General features: G+C 43.0%; 2 long non-coding RNA genes across 2 annotated transcripts; both read left to right on the top strand.

The window, feature by feature from the left end:
• Positions 388-10,326, top strand: LOC124906068 (uncharacterized). Its single transcript, XR_007087196.1, has 3 exons — positions 388-477; positions 2,910-2,987; positions 10,284-10,326. It is a non-coding gene; the product is annotated as an uncharacterized LOC124906068 (long non-coding RNA).
• Positions 10,327-10,401: 75 nt separating this feature from the next.
• LOC105373563 (uncharacterized) lies at positions 10,402-19,309 on the top strand. Its single transcript, XR_001739645.2, has 3 exons — positions 10,402-10,490; positions 17,852-17,952; positions 19,216-19,309. It is a non-coding gene; the product is annotated as an uncharacterized LOC105373563 (long non-coding RNA).
• The last annotated feature ends 1,159 nt before the right edge of the window (positions 19,310-20,468 follow it).

Genomic DNA, 20,468 nt, shown 5'->3' with positions numbered 1-20,468 from the left:
CATTATGGAGTTGAAAGGTGAGGCCAGGTGGACTTCCTGGGTCCAGTGGGGACTTGGGGAACTTTTCTGTCTTACAAGAGGATTGTAAAACACACCAATCAGGAACTTTTCTGTCTTACAAGGGGATTGTAAAACGCACCAATCAGCACTCTGTAAAATGCACCAATCAGCAGGATTCTAAAAGTAGCCAATCACAGGGAGGATTGAAAAAAGGGCACTCTGATAGGATGGAAACAGAACATGGGAGGGGCCAAAAGGAAGTAAAAGCTGGCCACCCCAACCAGCAACCCTGCTGGGGTCCCCTTCTGGGTTGTGGAAGCTTTGTCCTTTTGCTCTTCACAGTAAACGTTGCTACTGCTCACTCTTTGGATCCATGCCATCTTTAAGAGCTGTAACACTCACTGCGAAGGTCCACGGCTTCATTCTTGAAGTCAGCGAGACCACAAACCCACCAGTAGGATCTATCTCTGGACACAGGTTTGTGGGCATGTTTGGTGTGTGTTGTGTGTATATATTTTGTGTGTGTGTTGTGTGTTGTTATGTGTTGGGGGTATGTATGTTTTTATGATTTTGTGTGTGTGTTATGTGTGTGTTGGGCGGGGAGAAAAGCCTTTGGTTCCTTTGTGTCCACAGCACGGGACAGGGCTCAGCATAACTAGCGATTTGCAGTTGATTTATTTACATGAAACGTATCCCCTTTTGCACTTTAGGCCAAAAAAAAAAAAAAGTGCAGTAGAGCGATGCTCCTCCATTTGAACCAGCCTCCTGCATTCAAGGTGGGAGATGTGCTGAGAGACATCCAGGAGTTGTTTTATGAGGATTACCAGATGACTCTGGAATTCCAGTCATTCCCAAGGATACTCTTTTGATATTTCTGAACAGATTAGACCCCACTGAGAGATTCCACCTTTAAAGAAATTCAATGAGATCACATGGACACAGGAAGGGGAACATCACATTCTGGGGACTGTTGTGGGGTGGGGGGAGGGGGGAGGGATAGCACTGGGAGATATACCTAATGCTAGATGACGAGTTAGTGGGTGCAGCGCACCAGCATGGCGCATGTATGCGTATGTAACTAACCTGCACAATGTGCACATGTACCCTAAAACTTAAAGCATAATTTAAAAAATTAAAAAAAAATTAAAAATAAATAAATAAATAAAAATAAAAATAAAATAAAAAAATTTAAAAAATTAAAAAAATATAAAAAATAAAGAAATGCAAGTGGCCTCTTCGCAGCAAAGCCAGGTAAGCTGACACGAGGAGACAGACAGCACGTGCTGCCAGGCATTCCCTTCATCAGACACCAGCTCCTGCCCAGCGTGGGAAGCCAGGGTCCTGGTCACTGTGCGGGGCCGAGGCTGCTGCTCCTTGAGTGACACAGCAAAGGGCATGTGTCCCCAGGTCACTGGCCATCCTCTCTGATACCAGACTTTTTGGCATTTGGGACCCTCACCTGAAGCTTCTGGCAGATCTGGGGGGTGGGCCTTGTTCCCCCATCCACAAGTTATTTCAAGAATTTACATCCATTTTTTGTTGTTATTTGGGCCGTAGGATGTGAGTTTTAACAGAGACAAGGGAAAGCTCTCAAGAGAATGATCCAGATTCCTGGGAATCCTATAAGCCCTCCTCCACCTGACTAGGACTGCATTTTTAAAGCCTTCATTTGTGCAAAGGCCTTTGTGCTGACATAGTAATACCCCATTCCAGGAACTTGGGCCATGGCCTCCTGTCTCGGCAGCATTTCTGGGTTAAGGGGCAGCCAGTGATTGTCCTCAATGCTTGAGGCACTACAGGGTGGGAGGTGGAGGATCACAGGTGAGTCAAACAGGAAGCCTGCTCCTGGGGAGCTTACAGTGATGTAGGGTGGTGAGACAAGGACACCAATACCTGTGTGCAGGTACCACTAACAAGTACAAAGCACTGCAGCAGCAGGGAGGAAACCTCCCTGTGCAGAGGGGGCTGAGGAGGGCTGCAGGGAGATGACAGGAAAGCCGGTGTTAAAGTAGGAGTACTTCCCACTCTCTGGGCATGAGGAGACCAGGAGGACATTCCACAGTGAGAAACCCAGGCAGAGGCCGTGTGCTTATGGCATTGGGGGGGAGAATGACACCTTAGAATTATTCTCTACATTGGAATTGTCTATTACAGATACCCATATTGTAGCTTCACATAGTGTGGTGGTTAACTGTGTTATCATATTGTCTTATTTGCTATTTTCCAGCCACCCGCCCATCCCTGATAGTCACTGGCCCAGCACAGGGCCTTCCACCTTCCATCAAACAAATGCCTGAGCTTCTCACCGAGGGGTAAATCACCTGCCAGTAGGGAAGGATCCCTGTTATAACCCCTCTCCAGGCAGGCTTGGTCCAAATGAACTCCTAGGAGCCCACGCCCTGGGAAATCCCCTGGCCACTGTTGTGGCTGGTCCTGCCAGCTAGAAGAGGTTCCTCCAGGGCCAGATGCAAGCTCTGTGGCTGTTCCAAGGAGGCTCTGCAGCACTAGCTCAGCCTTGTACCATGCTGGGCTCCTGGGGATTTCTGCCTCCATTTCTTCCTTCTTCACTCCTCCATTATTGCACCCTTGACTCAGCCCATGCAGGAATCCATCCCATCCTAAGTATTTCTGATGATATGATGCCCCCAGTCAGAAGGTGCAGGAAAGATGTTTAATAATAACAATAATAATAAACAATTTGTTATTTTCTCAATGGTCAGGCATCTTGCTAAATGCTGTTCATTGAATAACTTTTTTAATTCTCAAAAACCCCTATTAGGTGGGCCCTATTACAATCCTCACATCATGCATGAGAAGTCTGAGGTTTGGAAGGATTTTAAAAGTTGCTCTACATCCCACACTAATAAGTGAGAGAGCTCAGATTTGTACCCATATCTGTCTAATTCCAGAGCCCAAGTTCTGATGCTATCAGCAGTCTCTACTGTGGCAAAGATGAAGGACAAATCCAACACTTTCTAGGGCTAAAGGTGAGTGGCTCAGGAAATAGTTTTTCTAGTGTTCCAGCTGAATGTCTCTCACTCACATTCAACCCAGAGTGGAAGGGTGTTTCCCTGGGAATCTGGTAAAACTGCTCAGTCTTCATGCAAAGGGAGGAGAAAATTGTCCTTTTTTGCTTCCCACATTGTTTCCTTGGCCCAAAAGCTAGGAAGCCCTGTGATTGGCACGTACTGGGGAGAGGATCTTCATACATGTGGCTCTGCCCCTTCCCCTCTGATTGTGGGGCTGGGCATCCTGCCACTTCTCTCCTCCTGGAAGTACATGGCACCAACCCAGATTCTGTTCTCTGGAGGTCTCCACACAAGTGTGGGCCAGTAATTCTCAGAATGACCCTATGCTGTGAGACTGAAACTCCCTCTTGGACAGCTAATCCCACAACCTGGCCTCAGTGGAGTGAGTAATAGGGAACCCACCTGAGCATAGATCCATGACATATTCTATAGTCCAATATTCAAAGAATTGGAGCACTATTTGATAAGCACGAATTTGATTCCTGCCTCCTGCCTCCTGCAGCCTGCATTATCATAAAATGCTGTCATTTCTTATTATTTGTCCCAGCATGTATAGCAGCAGGGATAGAAAGGCTAATTCTCTGCTTTAGGACTAGCCATGCTCAAGGGGTTGGACGGTGCTGGGGAAACTGATGCAGCTGCAGATCCTCAATGGAAACAAACATTCAGTCTGATGCCCAGAGCAGGGTACGAGGGAGTATGGCAATGCGTTGTCTTGATAAGTATTCAGTTGGGGAAAATGGGAGGGGTCCCACACGGGTATGAGCAAATCCCATTAGGTGGAGGAGGGAGGAGCGCAATGAGGAATCTGGGTCAGGTGGTAGGCACTGGATGCTCCAGATAAGTGTACAGTCAGTATCTTCAAGGCCCATGAACAAGGACCAGCGGCCCAGTCACAGGAATGAGGTTTGGAAGATTAGCAACTTTTAAGGGGCCAAGATATTAGACAGTAAGCAGGACAGAGCCCAGAACAAGAAACAGTAGGAAAGTGGAAGAAATTATGTGATTTCATGTTTACTGTAAGAAGCTTCTGGAAGTCAGTAAAGACATGGTTGCAATCCCCATCATTAGTGCTCTTATTAATATCTTCTGAATGTCAGTCCACTCGTTTCAAGATTGCATTTTCCAACAATGTCTGTACCTAAATGTTTGGCATGTTTTCTGCAGTTGTTAGGTTTGGTATTCTGTATATATTCCTGAGGATCCTATTGATTAAAATGTATTGGTCCTATTGATTAAATGCTTGCTCTCCTTACTGCTCTCTTTCTATTTTTTTGATCATCTTAGTCTATCAATAATATAAGAGGTACATTAAGATCTCCCATGTAATATAGATTTATTATTTTGATCTCAATTTTGGCATTATATATTTTTGAAGCCATGTTATTAGTGAGCTCTATAATAATCCTCACTTCATGGATGAAAAATCTGAGGTTTGGAAGATTTAGAAATTAGCTGTATGTCTTACACTAATAAGTGAGAAAGCTCAAATTTGCACCCAAGGCCGGGAGCAGTGGCTCACGCCTGTAATCCCAGCACTTTGGGAGGCCGAGGCAGGCGGATCACGAGGTCAGGAGATCGAGACCACCCTGGCTAACACAGTGAAACCCCGTCTCTACTAAAAATACAAAAAAAAATTAACCGGGCATGGTGGCAGGCACCTGTAGTCCCAGCTACTCAGGAGGCTGAGGCGGGAGAATGGCGTGAACCCGGAAGGCGGAGCTTTCAGTGAGCCGAGATCGCGCCACTGCACTCCAGCCTGGGGGACAGAGCGCAAGACTTCGTCTCAAAAAAAAAAAAAAAAAAAAAAATTTGCACCCAAATCTGACTAATTCCAGAGCCAATTCCAATTTAGAATCGTTATATCTCCCTGGTGAACTGAAGCTTTTATCTTTAAGGAGACACACTCTTTATGTCTACCAATGCTTATTGCCTTAAAGTCCACTTTGTCAGATACAGCTGCTTTCTTTTAATTAGTTTTTGTGTGGTATATCTCTTTCCATCCTTTTTCTTTCAGCCTTCTCCATTCTTACATTTTAGATATATTTCTTTTTTCTTTTTTTTTTGAGAGAGAGTCTCACTCTCTCGCCCAGGCTGGAGTAGTGCAATGGCGCGATCTTAGCTCACTGCAACCTCCACCTCCTGGGTTCAAGCAATTCTCCTGCCTCAGCCTCCCAAGTAGCTGGGATTACAGGAGCCCACCACCAAGCCCAGCTAATTTGTTGTATTTTTAGAAGAGATGAGGTTTCGCCATGTTGGCCAGGCTGGTCTCGAACTCCTGACCTCAGGTCATCCACCCACCTCGGCCTCCCAAAGTGTTGGTATTACAGGCGCGAGCCACCATGCCCAGCTGATTTTAGCTGTATCTCAAAAACAGCATGGGTTCTGTTTGCTTTCCTTATTCAGCTTTATAATGTAAATCATTTACATCAAACATCTAATACACCATGGACTGTAAAACACAGCCATATTTTATGTATGAATTAAAAAAAAAAACACCACCAATTAGTTCCTGAGACACACACCTTAACAATATCTCTGTGATGTGCATAAATCAATCACATCAGTTTCTCTGCACCTCAAAATTTCTTTCCTCAATTCTCAGAGATATGGCAATTTCTCTGGTTTTACATTCCCAGAAGCAAAGAAAAAGTACACAGCTTCTTCAAGTCATGAGTAGCTTCTTTTTTATAGCTCTTGGTGTTTGCAAAAAAGATTGGAATTGCTTCACTAATACTAAATTTTCATTCTGCTGCTCTGTTTCTATGACAAGTCAGAGGGCATCTTTTTGAAGACATTCTAAACAGCAATTAAACTCAAAACATGTAATGACAATGACACACAAAACTCAACTGATGACCAAATGAAGAGTTCCAGCCAAGTTGACACAAGCTGGCTGACAGAGCTTGTAATACACACAGCTTGGCATATGCCTCGCCATTTCAGAGATGTAAAAATAGGAATAAATGTTTTCCCTTAAATCAATGAAATAGAGCATTTGGACTGAAAATCTACGACAGTTATAGTGTTTTCTATTCATTATTCTCATTCTGTTTCTTCTCCCCCTTGCTTTCTTTTAGTTTGAATATTTTCTATCATTTCATTTTTCTTCCTACTAGTTTGAAACTTATGCATTTATTTTCTATTTTTTAGCACTTACCTAAAATTACTCTGTAATCCATGGATCCTTAATTTATTTAAAAAACTAATGTTAATGAGTAGCTTTATTTTCCTCCCATCTAATTTAAGGCCCACAGAACACCTTCACTTACCTCAATCCTCTCCCAACTTACATGCTTTTAATGTCATATATGTTAATACCGTATACTTTTAAAACTTTCTAAAATAGCATTATTTTATAGCATGAGTGTTCATTTACATTTTTGCATATATTTAGAATTTTCTTTGCTCTTCGTTTCTTCTTCTATTTATGACTCCCCTCTGGGATCATTTTCCTTCTACTTGAAGTACATAGTTTAGAACTGCACTATTCAATACAGTAGCCACTAGCCATGTGTAGCTATTGAAGTTTAAACTAAGTAAAATTGAGTAATATTAAAAACTCAGTTCCTTCATCTCACTAGCCACATTTCAAGTGCTCAGCAGCCACATGTGACTAATGACTACTGTACAGCAAACATATAGAACATTTCCATCATGGCAAAGAGCTCTATTGATAGTGTTCATCCAGAGTTTCTGTTCCAGGACCAAACTGAGGGTTGGGCTGCTATTTCTCATGGCCCAATAACAAGATGCAGATGAGCTGGGGAGGAAGAGAGTTTTTATTTCTGCAACCAGTTACAGGGAGAAGGCCTGGAAATCATCACCAGGCCAACTCAAAATTATGACATTTTCCAGAGCTTATATACCTTCTAAGCTATATGTCTACGTGTAAGTGTGCATTCACCTGAAGACGTAAGTGATTAACTTCTTTTAATCTGTAACTAAGGTCTGAGTCCGGAAGATCTTCCCCTGGAGCCTCAGTAAATTTACTTAATCTAAATGGGTCCAGGTGCTGGGGTAATTACCCTTATCTTGTCCCCTGCTAAATCATGGAGGTTTGGGGAGTTCCTTTAGAGCACCAATAAACTTGTTTGTGGAGGCCTGGGGAGTTTCTTCAGACCCACAATAAAACTTGTTTAATCCTAAATGGGTCCTGTTAAGAATTCCTTCTTTATTTTGTCATATTTTAAGGCCCAGAAAAGGCCTGGGCAAAACTCTTGATGGGCTTTTGTTACATTCCAGCCTTTGTATAAGAACACTGGTTTTTAATATTTAACTTAACCATTTAGTCAGTACTGAAACAGTTGTTATAGAGATCTGCATTAGTGAGACCTGGCCTGCCACATTTCCTTTTCTGAAGATCTTATGGTAGTGATCACCTTTGTGAAAGGAAAATAAATCTTGGGACCTCAAAATCACTAAGCCAAAGAAAAAAGTCAAGCTGGGAAGAATCTGACACTTAAATCCAACACTGCTAACTCATTCATCTCACTCATTCATTCATTTTATTTTCTTTTTTCTTTCTTTTTTTTTTTTTTTTTTTGAGACGAAGTCTTGCTCTGTCACCCAAGCTGGAGTGCAGTGGATCTCAGGTCACTGCAACCTCCACCTCCCGGGTTCAAGCGATTCTCCTACCTCAGACTCCTGAGTAGCTGGAATTACAGGCACCTGCCACCACGCCTGGCTAATTTTTATATTTTTAGTAGAGACGGGGTTTCACCATGTTCATCAGGCTGGTCTCGAACTCCTGACCTCGTGATCCGCACCCCCCTCGGCCTTGTTTGCTTGAGGTACTGTCTAGATGCTGGAACTGAAAATGGCAAGCAAGACATCCCTACCCTTGAGGAAACTGTAATCTAGTCGGAAATACAGATGTCAACCCAAGTTTCACACAAGAAAATGTACAAAAACCCCTAGGACAAATGCTATGACGGAGAGGTGCTCAGCACTCAAGGGCTTTTATTGGGGATGGAAGTGACTCTTGAACTGAGATCTAGGAAGATATGGTGGTTAACTAGCTCTAGGGTGGGGAGAGTCGCTTTCTCCTCTCTTTTGAGGTCATAATCAGTTTCTGTTATTAATGGTAGAACAAGCAAAAAAAAGGAAAAAAGGCAGAGCAATGAGGACCTCTTGGGGAAGGTTGTGTCTCTGTATCTGGAAGGTTAATTTCTCTCACAGACACCTTATTTGTGCACCTTTTCAGTCATGCTCTCCTTCCACATGAGAGGAAAAGCATCACTGCCCCAGAGGCACAGAGAGCTCAAGACACCAATCTCTCTTTCCTGCCCCCATTCTCTGGCATACACAAAGCCAGTTTCCAGTCATAACAAATGAAACAAATTATTCATGACAGGCTATTTGCAAGGTGATGCTTTGGGCATACCCAGGATATTCTACCACTCCAAACTCCTTCCCTGGAAATTTGAGAAGTTAAGCTGACTACTGGTCCTTAGACAGCCCAGAGCACTGCTTGGACCCTGTTTGCTCTCTCATACAATAGCCATCCTCATCCCCATCTCTATACCATTCTTACCAGAAAAGAATAGCCAAAAAATTAAGGTTTTGTTTTTGTTTTCTTGAGGCAGCGTCCTGCTTTGTCACCCAGGCTGGAATGAAGTGGTGCAATCAAGGTTCACTGCAGCTTTGACCTCCCATGCTCAAGTGATCTTTCCACCTCGGCTTCTTGAGTAGGTAGGATTACAGGCACGCACCGCCTGTCGCCTTTTTTTTTTTTTTTTTTTTTTTTTAGAGATGGGGTCTCACTATGTTGCCCAGGCCAGTTTTGAAATCCTGAGCTCAAGTGATCTTCCCACCTTGGCCTCCCAAAGTGATGAGATTACAGGTGTGAGCCACTGCAGCCAGCCAAAAACAAGGAGGAAAAAAAAGCAAGGTTTCTTATTCGTCTTCCCTCATTTACCCATGAGTTGTGGTCAGTCTAAAATCCACCAAGGTAGAATTAGGAGATGGGAGAGTCATGAGCTCTTCTCAGTATTTCAAAAAGTCAGAAAAAAATTACATAGTTAACCACATTAAGGCCTTCTCTTCATATTGGCTCGTTTATAGGGAATAAATAAGTAAAGACTTCTCAGTTAATGTGGGGTCAGTTCTCTTTGCTTTTAGGTGGAATTACCTCAAGTCTGTGTAGTGATCTGATGATCTTGTACTGAGCAAATATCACAATTAACCATTGTATGTTTGCAACACATGGTTTAAAAAATAAACCAATTCTTGCACAGTAAATACAATTTGCTTATAAAATCTATAAAAATTTACTGTGGTGCCAGTTAGAATGGCAATCACTAAAAAGTCACGAAACAACAGGTGCTGGAGAGGATGTGGAGAAATAGGAATGCTTTTACACTGTTGGTGGGGCTATAAACTAATTCAACCATTGTGGTAGACAGTGTGGCAATTCCTCAAGGATCTAGAACTAGAAATACCATTTGACCCAGCCATCCCATTACTGGGTATATACCCAAAGGATTATAAATCATGCTGCTATAAAGACACATGCACATGAATGTTCACTGTGGCACTATTCACAATAGCAAAGACTTGGAACCAACCCAAATGTCCAGCAATGATAGACTGGATTAAGAAAATGTGGCACACATACACCATGGAATACTATGCAGCCATAAAAAAGGATGAGTTCATATCCTTTGTAGGGACGTGGATGAAGCTGGAAACCATCATTCTGAGCAAACTATCACAAGGACAGAAAACCAAACACCACATGTTCTCACTCATAGGTGGGAACTGAACAATGAGAACACTTGGACACAGGGTGGGGAACATCACACACCAGGGCCTGTCATGGGGTGGGGAGAGCGGGGAGGGATAGCATTAGAAGATATACCTAATGTAAATGACGAGTTAATGAGTGCAGCACACCAACATGGCACATGTATACATATGTAACAAACCTGCACATTATGCACATATACCCTATAACTTAAAGTATAATTTTTTTAAAAAAAGAAAAAATTTACTGTGGTGTTGGAGGGGTGAAAGCATAACTAAAGAGGTTCTCAATAGTGCAAGGACTGGGAACATTGATGTAGCAGAGAACTGGTTTCGAATCCTGGCTCTATCTCTTCTCGCTCTGTGAATTAGCTTACCTTAACTTTTCCGATCCAGATTCCTCCTGTTATAAAGTGAGATAATATCAGCCTCTCTGGGCAGTTGTGAGAATAAGGAGTATAGCAAATAGCATAGCACCTAATGCATAGTGGATTGTCCTCCATGCAGGTGAAGTTCCGATGAGGATGATGGTGGGGATGATGATGATGATAATAATGGTGATGCTGATGATGGTGATGGAGATACTAACAATGATAATGAAGATGATATGATGATGATGATAATGGTGTAGTGACGGTGACAATGATGATGGTCATGGTGATGATGACAATGAAGACTTCTCATCCACAGAGATTCTGGCTTAATTGGTTTGCGGTAAGGTTGGGCATCAGTACTATTTTAAAGCTTCCCAGATGACCCTAATGTACAATCTGGGTTGACAACCACTGTCCCAGTCCAGCAGAACTCAAACTCTTTGATCTCAGGACCCCTTTATACTCTTAAAAATTATTGAGGACCCCAAAGAAGTTTGTTTTAAACACAAAAACATATACATATCCCTTTCATTAGCCATTAGATTAATGACAGTATCATGTTATGTAGCCCCTAAAAAACTCCACTGGACACTAGTAAAAAAAAAATGACAGGGCAGCCTGGCCAACATTACAAAACCCCATCTCTACTAAAAATACAAAAACTAGCCGGCGGGGTGGTGCAGACCTGTAATCAGCTACTCAGGAGGCTGAGGCATGAGAATTGCTTGAACCCTGGAGGTGGAGGTTGCAGTGAGCCGAGATTGCACCACTGCACACGAGCATGGATGACAGAGCAAGACTCTGTCTCAAAAAAAAAAAAAAATGAGAGGGAGGCAAAAACAAATAATGTCTTGTGCTGTTATGAAAATCATTTTGGCTTCATGAACTTCCTGATGCTACCTTAGACTAGTTTTCTACACCACAGTATTGTCCCCTGTGCCTCGCTTCCCCCAACACTGCATACACACCCACAGACTGTCAGTCTCCCTCTCTCACATCTCTGCCACACCTAGAGGAGGAGTGATACTGTTGGCTTTCAGGCAATGCAAAACAATCAACTCCCACATAGCCTGATACTAAATGATCATTAGAAAGGGTCCAGACCAAAGGCTGCCACGGCTCTCGCTGCTTAAAATAAAACATTATAGATTTGCAAGATAAATTAATAGAATAAACAGGACTACAAGATCTGCATGGGCAAATGAACCCTCAGGTCCTTTGAAAACACACGAGATGCTGAGCAAAACTAATTGCTTGACCAATCACACATCACCTTGATGACTGACAATGACAAGGCGCACTTGGCTGAACTTGCTGAGTATCAACGGTCCAAACTGGTCGCCACTGGGAGAAAGCAGTTCCACATACAAGTTCACTTGTCCCACACAATGTTATTTCAAAATATAAATTAGTTCCCAACATTAAAATCAGGACATTTCACGCAAAAACCTGGATTTCTGGCTTTTCTTGAAACAGAAGAAAATCTGGCAATACTCATGCTTTGTTTCCTCGGTGGGATGAAGCAGAGTGGTAAGTGCTGCCTTCAGATGGCACTTGGGTCTCCTTTCTTACCACAGCCTACTTCTCTCAGTTGCATTATATTTAGTATTATATATGCATGGAGATAACGTTATCACTTTTGTTTGAGAAGTTCATGGATCTTAAAGGCCACTCCTTTTCTTTAAGCCATATCAGTAAGGTTAAAGTCACTTCATTTATTTAGAAGTCAGTCTTACTATAACTTCTACTATCCAGAGCTTACTGTGGGATCTGGAAAGCCATGAAGCCAGGAAGCCAAGAGAGTAGGCACAACGTCCATGAAATTTCTTCTGAATAAAGACATTGCACTTGGCTAATTCTATTTTATACACAGTCCTAAAATGTTTTATCAGATTTTTCAAGCCAATGAGGAAAATAATTAGACACAGGAAAAAAAAAATCCCAGCTTGTAAACATAAGGGGGAATCCCCCACCTCACCCCACCTCTCCCTCCCGCAAAACACGGTAACTTAGTGCAAGGAATTTTTTAAATCAAGATTAAAGACCAAATGTTCCTCTAAGACAAGGAACAAGGATGTCTGCTTTCACCAATGCTATTTGACATAGTGCTAGAAGTTCTAGCCACTGCAATAAGGCAAAAAAAAAAAAAGGCATATAGATTGAAAAGGAAGAAATAAAACTGTGCCTGTTTGCAGACAACATGACTGTCTATATAGAAAATCTCAAGGTATCTACAAGAAAAATGAAAAAACCTCCTAGAACTAATAAATGAGTTCAATAATGTTGCAAGATGTAGGAACAAAGATCAACACACAAAAATTCATTGCTTTTCTACACACTGAAAATGAACTAGTGGAATAAAAAACACAAAATCATTTATAATTGTTACCAAGAAAGTGAAATGCTTAAGCATAAATTCAACAAAACATATACAGAATCTTTAGGATGAAAATTTTAAAAAATTAATGACAGAAATTAAAGAAGGACTAAATGCTTTGAGAGAGATGCTATGTTCATAGATTAGAAGAATCAACTGAATAAAGACATCAGTTCTTTTTAAATTAATGTATAGGCATAATGCAATTCTTATCAAAATCTTCATAAGGCTTTCGGTTAGACATAGACAAAGTTATTTTAAAATTTATATGTAAAGGCCCTAGAATATCCAAAAATTTTTTGAAAAAGAATAAAGCAGGAAAAACACTTTTCCTAATGCTAAGGCTTACTATATAACTGCAATAATCAAGACAATGAGGTATTGGTGGAGGAACTGATGCATTTTTTAAAAGTAACATGATAAAGAGCCCAGAAATAGACTCACACAAATATGTCCAATTAATTTCTGACAAAGGCAATTCAATGGAGGAAGGATACCCTTTTCAATGAAAGGGAACTGGAGCAATTAAACATATGTAATTTTTTTTTAAAAAACCCTAAACCTAAACATCTACCTATATACAAAAATTAATTAACAATGGATCATGGACTCCAATGTAAAACATGAAACTCTAAACTTCTAGAAAAAAAACTGGAGAAAACCTTTGGTACCTATGACAAGGCACAGTTTTTAGACTTAACACTAGAAGTGTGAACTATACAAGAAAAAATTAATAATTTGAACCTTATGAAAATCAAATTATTTGCTCTCCAAAAGACCCTGTTAAGAGGATGAAAACTAAATTACAGATTGAGAGAAAATATTTGTAAATCACATATTTGACAATGGACTTGTATCTAAAATATCTAAAGAACTCTCAAAACTCAACATTAAAAAAAATATCTAATTAGAAAATGAGTGAACATTTTACGAAAGGGGCCTTATAGATTAGCAAATAAAACACTTGAAAAGATACTCAGCATCACTAGCCATTAGAAAAATGCATATTAAAACCACAATAATGTATCGCTACACACATATAAGAATGGTTTATGAAAAAATAGTGATGACACCAACTGTTAGTGAAGATGTGGAGAAACACTCATACATTGCTGGTAGAAATGTAAAATGGCATAGCCACTGTGGAAAATTATTTGGCAGTTCCTTTTAAAACTAAAAATCAATCTACCACACAACCCAGCAATTTCATTACAGGGCATATATCCCAGAGAAATGAAGATTTATGATCACACAAAAATCTGTACACAAATGTTTTATGGTCACTTTATTCATAATAGCCAAAACCTGGAAACTATCCAAATGTCCTTCAATGGGCAAAGGATTAAACACACTGTGATACATCCATACCATGGAATACTACTCAGCAATAATAAGGAAAGAATTACTGCTACACACAAGTTGGATTAAACTCAAGGAAATTGTGCTGAGTGAAAAATTAACAAGCCAATCTCAAAGGACACATACTTCATGATTCCATTTGTATAACATTAATTAACACAATTAATTACAGAGATGGAGAACAGAATAGTGGTTGCCAGGGTTTAGAGATGGTGGAGGCGGTGAGGTGGGCTTAGGGTTTGGAGATGAAGAGGATACAGCTGTAAAGCATAGCAAGAGAGAGTCTTGTGATGAGGGCATAGTTAAGTATTGTGATTGTGGTGGTTACATGAAGCTACACACATAAAATTGCATAGAGCTACACACACACACACACACACACACACACACACACACACACACACACAAATGAGTGGAAGTATAACTGGCAAAATCTGAGTAAGCTATCTGGACAGTACCAATATCGATTTCCCAGTTTTGATGTTGTACTATAATAATGCAAGATGTTAACATTGGAAGAAGCTGGCTGAAGGGGGCTCAGGAACTCTCTGGACATTTCTTTGTACCTTCCTGTGAATCCATCATTATTACAAAATAGGACATTTTCTAAAGGTTAAATCATTTTAATTTTAAAATGTCCCTGTTACTGTTGAAACTCACATCTCCATATACTGATCAAGAACAGCACTAATGGCCCCTGGCCTCCAGGAATTCACAATTCCTACTGACTTTTCTTTGAAACCTTGGCCAAGTCGCTTCTCTTCTCTGGTCCTCAATTTTTCATCTTCAAAATGAAGATTGAATGACTATTAAAATCTCTTGCAATTCTTGAGATGAAGGGTCCTAAAGGAACTGAAGAGGATGCCATGTAATGTAAATATGGGTTTTTACTCCATCAGCCAGCCAAGACAGAGGGCAGACACCAAGACATGGTAACCAAGGAGGCCATGTGTAAACAAAGACCATTTAGACTTATGCTCTGGCCTTTGCAGCCCAACTGGTGTGGCCAGTTGGTGGGGTATGAAGAAAATGGGGCCTTCCAGGAACCATGTTGAGTGGAGATAAGCAGGGAGGAATGCAGAAGACATGGGGGCAGTGCCAGTCTCAGCCCGAGCCAGCTACACCCACACATGGTTATGAAAGACTGACAGCCTGTAAGCTGAACACTGCCCTGCCCTCTCCACTCCCCACCAGCCAGTAGGATTTGGGAGTGGTCTTAACTGCCCTCAGCTGAGGCCCAGGCACTGGCATACTCAGGACATCTCATCCAGTCCTATGGCTTCAAACCGCCTATTAACTAATGCCTTCTACATTTGCCTCTTTAGTCCTTACCTCTCCCATGGAATTGAGACTTACCTAACTGCCGAGTTGACACTGTCACTTAGCATCTCTTCCTCAAATGGCCAAAGCCAAACTTTTGCCTTTCTCCTGCCCAAACCTGTTTCCTTTCTAGTCTTCCTTCTCGGGAGCCATTAACCAGTCCTGTTGGCCCCACCCCCAAGAATATTCCAAATCTGTTCACTTCCCTCCTTGCCCTCTGCTACCACCCAGCTCCAAGCCACCATCTCTTCTCCTGTGGACCTAACAGAGTCCCTGCCTCAACCCTGCCCAGAATAAAATGGCCCTTCTACAGTGTCAATTAGATCTTGTCATTCCCCAGCCTAAACAATTCAATGGCCCCCATCTTAGTTAAAATTCCTCACCCTGACAAGGCCCCATCTACGCCTCTGACCTCATGCCCTCCACTCTCAGTCTTGCACTCACCCTGCCACACTCAAGGGCTTCCCCAGGTTCCTTCTTAGATTCCACCGATAGCTCAGGGACTTTGCACATGCTACGGTCTCTGCCTGGCTCCTCCCCAGATCTTCTCATGCCTAGCTGCTTCTCATCAGCACCCCTCAGAGACTGTCCCTGCCCCACCTCTCCAGGTTCCATACCTGCCACCCTCCCCCAATCACGTAACAGTTTCTTCACAGAGCGAGTTACCATCCCAGTATTTCCCTAACTTATTTTTTGTGACTGGTCTGTTGCCTGTCTCCACCACAAGAACATAAGCTGCATGTGAACAGGAGCCTTGTCTATCTTGTCACCCCAGTGGCTGTGACATAACCTGATACACATTAGATGCTCAATGATGTTTGATGAATGAAGTGCTGGTAGTCCAACTGTGTTTCCTTGTCTGTGTAAGTATGTCTGTTGTGGTTTCCTAAGAACCTACAGCTCTCCCACTGTGACTCCTGTTCTATGGTCCTGATTTGCTGGACTAGAATCCTAACCTACATGCTTACTCTTAGTGTCCTCCCCCAGAGGCTGAATCCCAGTCCCTAAACCTCCACCAAATGGCTAAGACCTAGCTTCCAACCAGACAGGCCTACGCTGAGACCTCAGCACCGCCCTTCTGCGGTCTCATCCTTAACGCATCCTTCAGGGCCCAGCTTAAATGTCTCTTCTCCAAGGAAGGCTATCCTCTTTCTGCCCCTCAGTGCTCTCCATGCCTCCTCTATGCCTCCATGCCTGCTTTCCAACCCTGCAGAGGTGGAGAAGTTGCTAATCTGCTGTGTTGACATGTGCTGGGGTGCCTTGGGCCAGGGAGCAGGCTGGTGGTGTGCTGATAGCCCGTGGCTGTGCCCAGGTCCATGCTCACTTCCTGAGCCCCAGTGGAGTAGGCTCCCTTTCCCTTATTGCAGCACTCAGAGGAAGGACGTGCTTCTTAGGACAGATCTGGCCAACCTCTCCCTCGTGAGAGAAGGCCCAGCCATCCTCTTGCCCTCTTTCTTTCTCCTGCCCCCGAGTAATAAAGGTGCCTGGTCAGAGCCTTCTAGAAGGAGACCCAAACATCCACCACACATTCCCAGTTCCAACCGTCATCCACATGGCTGGCTGTGCAGGTAAACGCAGAGTCTGTTTCACACACCCAACCATCTAGTATTGGATGGGAGGACAGTAGCGTGACACTCTTCTCCAGCCTTGAGCCCTACTGTGGGCCCCACCCAACCCAGATACCAGAGGAGCCCTGTACTGGGATGCTATTGGATGCTTGTCCAGTCATGTACAAAGTTAGCCCTTTGTTATATAGAGTTAGCTACGTACATCTTCCTCTGTAGGGAACCCAAGAGGGGAGAAGAGATATGTAGTAGGATTTAACCTGCAAATCCTCTGCTGAGCACCCTGCACTACATACAGTGGGTAGCATGTGGTAGGTGCTCAATAACTATTGACCGATAGATTGAATACAGGTAGGATGGTGACACAATCTAAGATCCCAGGGGTGGGGAGACCACACGCTTGGTTAGGGAGACCCAAAGTGGACCGTGTGGCCAGAAGAGTCCCGCACTGCACTCTAGTGACAGTGCAGAAAGTCACTGTGGGAAATCTAGAAGTTTCTACAGGTTGCTATTTCATCATAGCACTGTGCAGGCCAACCCTTCCTGCTCCACTGGCTGTTGGGAAAAGCTTTCTCTTTTCTTCCTAGCCAGGGAGCTCTCAAAGTGTTCCACTCTCTCACCTCCACCCAGGCGTCCAGGTGTGGAGGACACTTGCCGGCTGCTTGTCTGCTGACTCATCCCTTGGTTTCACTTGGAAAACCTACCACCAGCTGGCCTCTTTCCAAGCATCAGCCTCCTCATTTTCTTAATCCCTTAGGTGTGATCTCACCTCCACACAGTAGATTGCCTCAAGGCCCAATTCCAATATGAATAAAAATGATTATTTTGTCATCTTCCAATCTTCCTTTTAAAATATTATTTTATAATTCCCTTTAGGAGGATCACCTAAGTGAAGACTATTTTTACCTAAGAAATGTTAAAATGTAAAGACATGGTTGTAATCTGGGGATTCCTGTTAAAATGGCTAGCAGACAGAAGTCAGACGACAGGCTAGAAATGTGTGAAGAGTGGTTGCCTTTGAAAGGCGGAGTTGGTAATGATTTTCTTCCATTTTTCCATGCTTTCCAATTCTCTACAAAGGCCTTAATATTACTTCGATAACCAGGACCTCTGATAACCTGCCCCCACCGAGTAAAGACTTAGCTGGGAAAGTCAGCTTCATGTGAGGTAAAAGGAACCAGGTAATACACAATTCCCACTGCCAACTGTCGGGTGTGCAGGCCTGAGCTTCCTGCATGTGGGAGGAAAGAGAAAGAAGAGAGAAACTCCAAGATCCAAGAGATCCAGCAAGAAGGCTGGAGTCTGAGGACGCAGAAAGCTGAATGGCACAGTTACCACTATTGTGCTGAGGTTCTGTGGCCTCTGGGTCTCTTGACAACTGGGCAAAGACCCACAGAAAACTATCTCTAGACCCTACCTGTGGGAGGGGAAAGTGCTTAAGATCATTTACAGGACAGCCACCTGGACCTCAAATGGCTTACAGTTCCTTCATCCAGAGGGTCTTCATTTAGTACATACCAGGTGCTAAGCTGGGTGCTGGAGACATGACGGGGAACCCATTTACCATGGCTTTGTTACTGTGACATTCACATCTAGGGAAAGCCAGCAAAGGGGAGGGATCGAGGAGAGCTTGTTAGGCAGAGAAAATACCCAAGGGCAAGGGAGAAGCCAGCCTGTTCTGAGCACACACAGTGGTTCCATCTAACTGGGCCTCAGTGCCAGGTTGGACTGGAGATGGGGCTGAGGAGCTGTCACAGAGCATTCTGGACACAGATGTCACATAGTCCCTTGAGGTTAGGGTCCTTAGGCATGGCAGCATTGCTTTGAGTTTTTCCTTTTGTAATGTTGCCATTCATGACAATGTGGAAGATGGGTCCTTGCAGAGAAGGGCAGGGCTGTGAGACCAGTTAGGAGACTAAGATGTGAGCCAAGGAAAATGAGGAACACCTGAACACTGGGGCAGGTGCAGGGCCCAGAGAGAAGCAGATGGCTTCCTGAGGTTTTAAGTAGGTAGAATCAAGGCAGCTGGTAAAGATCTTTTATTACATATAAACTGGAATAAGCCATCTGCTCCAAGACAAAAGAGTAGGCGGAAAACAATACAAGACAGAAATGGAATTAGAACAAACCTGGGAGGAATGTGGAATTAGAGTAGAGAGTCCAACACTGGCTGCAATCATAAAAATGTAAAACAAACAAAAATTTGCTAGGTGTGCTTACTTAGAAATAATTAGCTGTCATATTAAGTTCACTTGTGTTATGGCTTAAATGTGTCCCCCAAAATGTGATGTGTTGGAAACTTGATCCCCAATGCAACAGAGTTGAGAGATGGGACCTTTAAAAGGTGATTAGGTCATAAGGGTTCTGCCCTCATAAATGAATTAATACTGTTATCATGAGAGTAGATTCCTGATAAAAGGATGATCTCTGCCTCCTCCCCACAGCCCTCTTGTGCATGCTTTCCTGCCTTTCCACCTTCTGCTATGGGATGACACAGCAAGAAGGCCCTCACCAGATGCAGCTCCTTGATCTTGGACTTTCCAGCCTCCAGAACTGTAAGCCAAACAAATTTCTGTTTATTATAAATTACCCAGTCTCAGGTATTCTGTTCTAGAAGCACGAAATGGACTAAGATCATTAGATTATCATTTTTTATCAGACTGTTGAAGTGAAAAATAAAAATCAAATAAAGAAATTAAGAGAGCTGCATGCAGCAGCTCATGCCTATAATCCCAGCACTTTGGGAGGCCAAGGCAGGTGGATTGCCTGAGCTCAGGAGTTTCAGACCAGCCTGGGCAACACGGTGAAACCCTGTTTCTACTAAAATACAAAAAACTAGGCCGGGCGCGGTGGCTCACGTCTGTAATCCCAGCACTTTGGGAGGCCGAGGCGGGTGGATCATGAGGTCAGGAGATCGAGACCATCCTGGCTAACAAGGTGAAACCCCGTCTCTACTAAAAATACAAAAAAAATTAGCCGGGCGCGGTGGCGGGCGCCTGTAGTCCCAGCTACTCGGGAGGCTGAGGCAGGAGAATGGCGTGAACCCGGGAAGCGGAGCTTGCAGTGAGCCGAGATTGCGCCACTGCAGTCCGCAGTCCCGCCTGGGCGACAGAGCGAGACTCCGTCTCAAAAAAAAAAAAAAAAAAAAAAAAAAAAAACTAGCCAGGCATGGTGGTGTGTGCCTATAGTCCCAGCTACTTGGGAGGCTGAGGCAGGAGAATTGCTTGAACCCAGGAGGTGGAGGTTGCAGTGAGCTGAGATCATACCACTGCACTCCAATCCAGCCTGGGTGACAAAGCAAGACTACATTTCAAAAAAAAAAAGAAAGAAAAAGAAAAAAAGAAAAGAAAAAGAAATTAAGAGAAGGGCAGGTATTAACCCCAAATATCCCACCATAGGGACACATTAAAGTTTGCTTGGCCACTCCCCTAGCATAATATATGGAATGTCTTCAAGGACCCTCTGTTGTAAATACAAGGCCCTGCTGGACTTAATACAACCTGCAGGCTTTGAGATCCCTACTCTGTTGCCATCTCTCATAGGATTTGCAGACCAAATCCAAATACTTAAAATAGCAACACTCACAAACATGCAAATCAGAGCAGAAAAGAAACTTCTAAAAGGCCCTGAAACTACACTTTATGAGAGAAGACAATAGGGACCTGAGGGTGGTAGAATTTTCTCTCTATGCATCTAT

This window comes from Homo sapiens, chromosome 2, assembly GCF_000001405.40.
Source record: "Homo sapiens chromosome 2, GRCh38.p14 Primary Assembly".
Taxonomy (NCBI): Eukaryota; Metazoa; Chordata; class Mammalia; order Primates; family Hominidae; genus Homo; species Homo sapiens.
The sequence above is the reverse complement of the archived record's forward strand: the minus strand, read 5'-3'. Positions and strand labels throughout refer to the sequence as shown.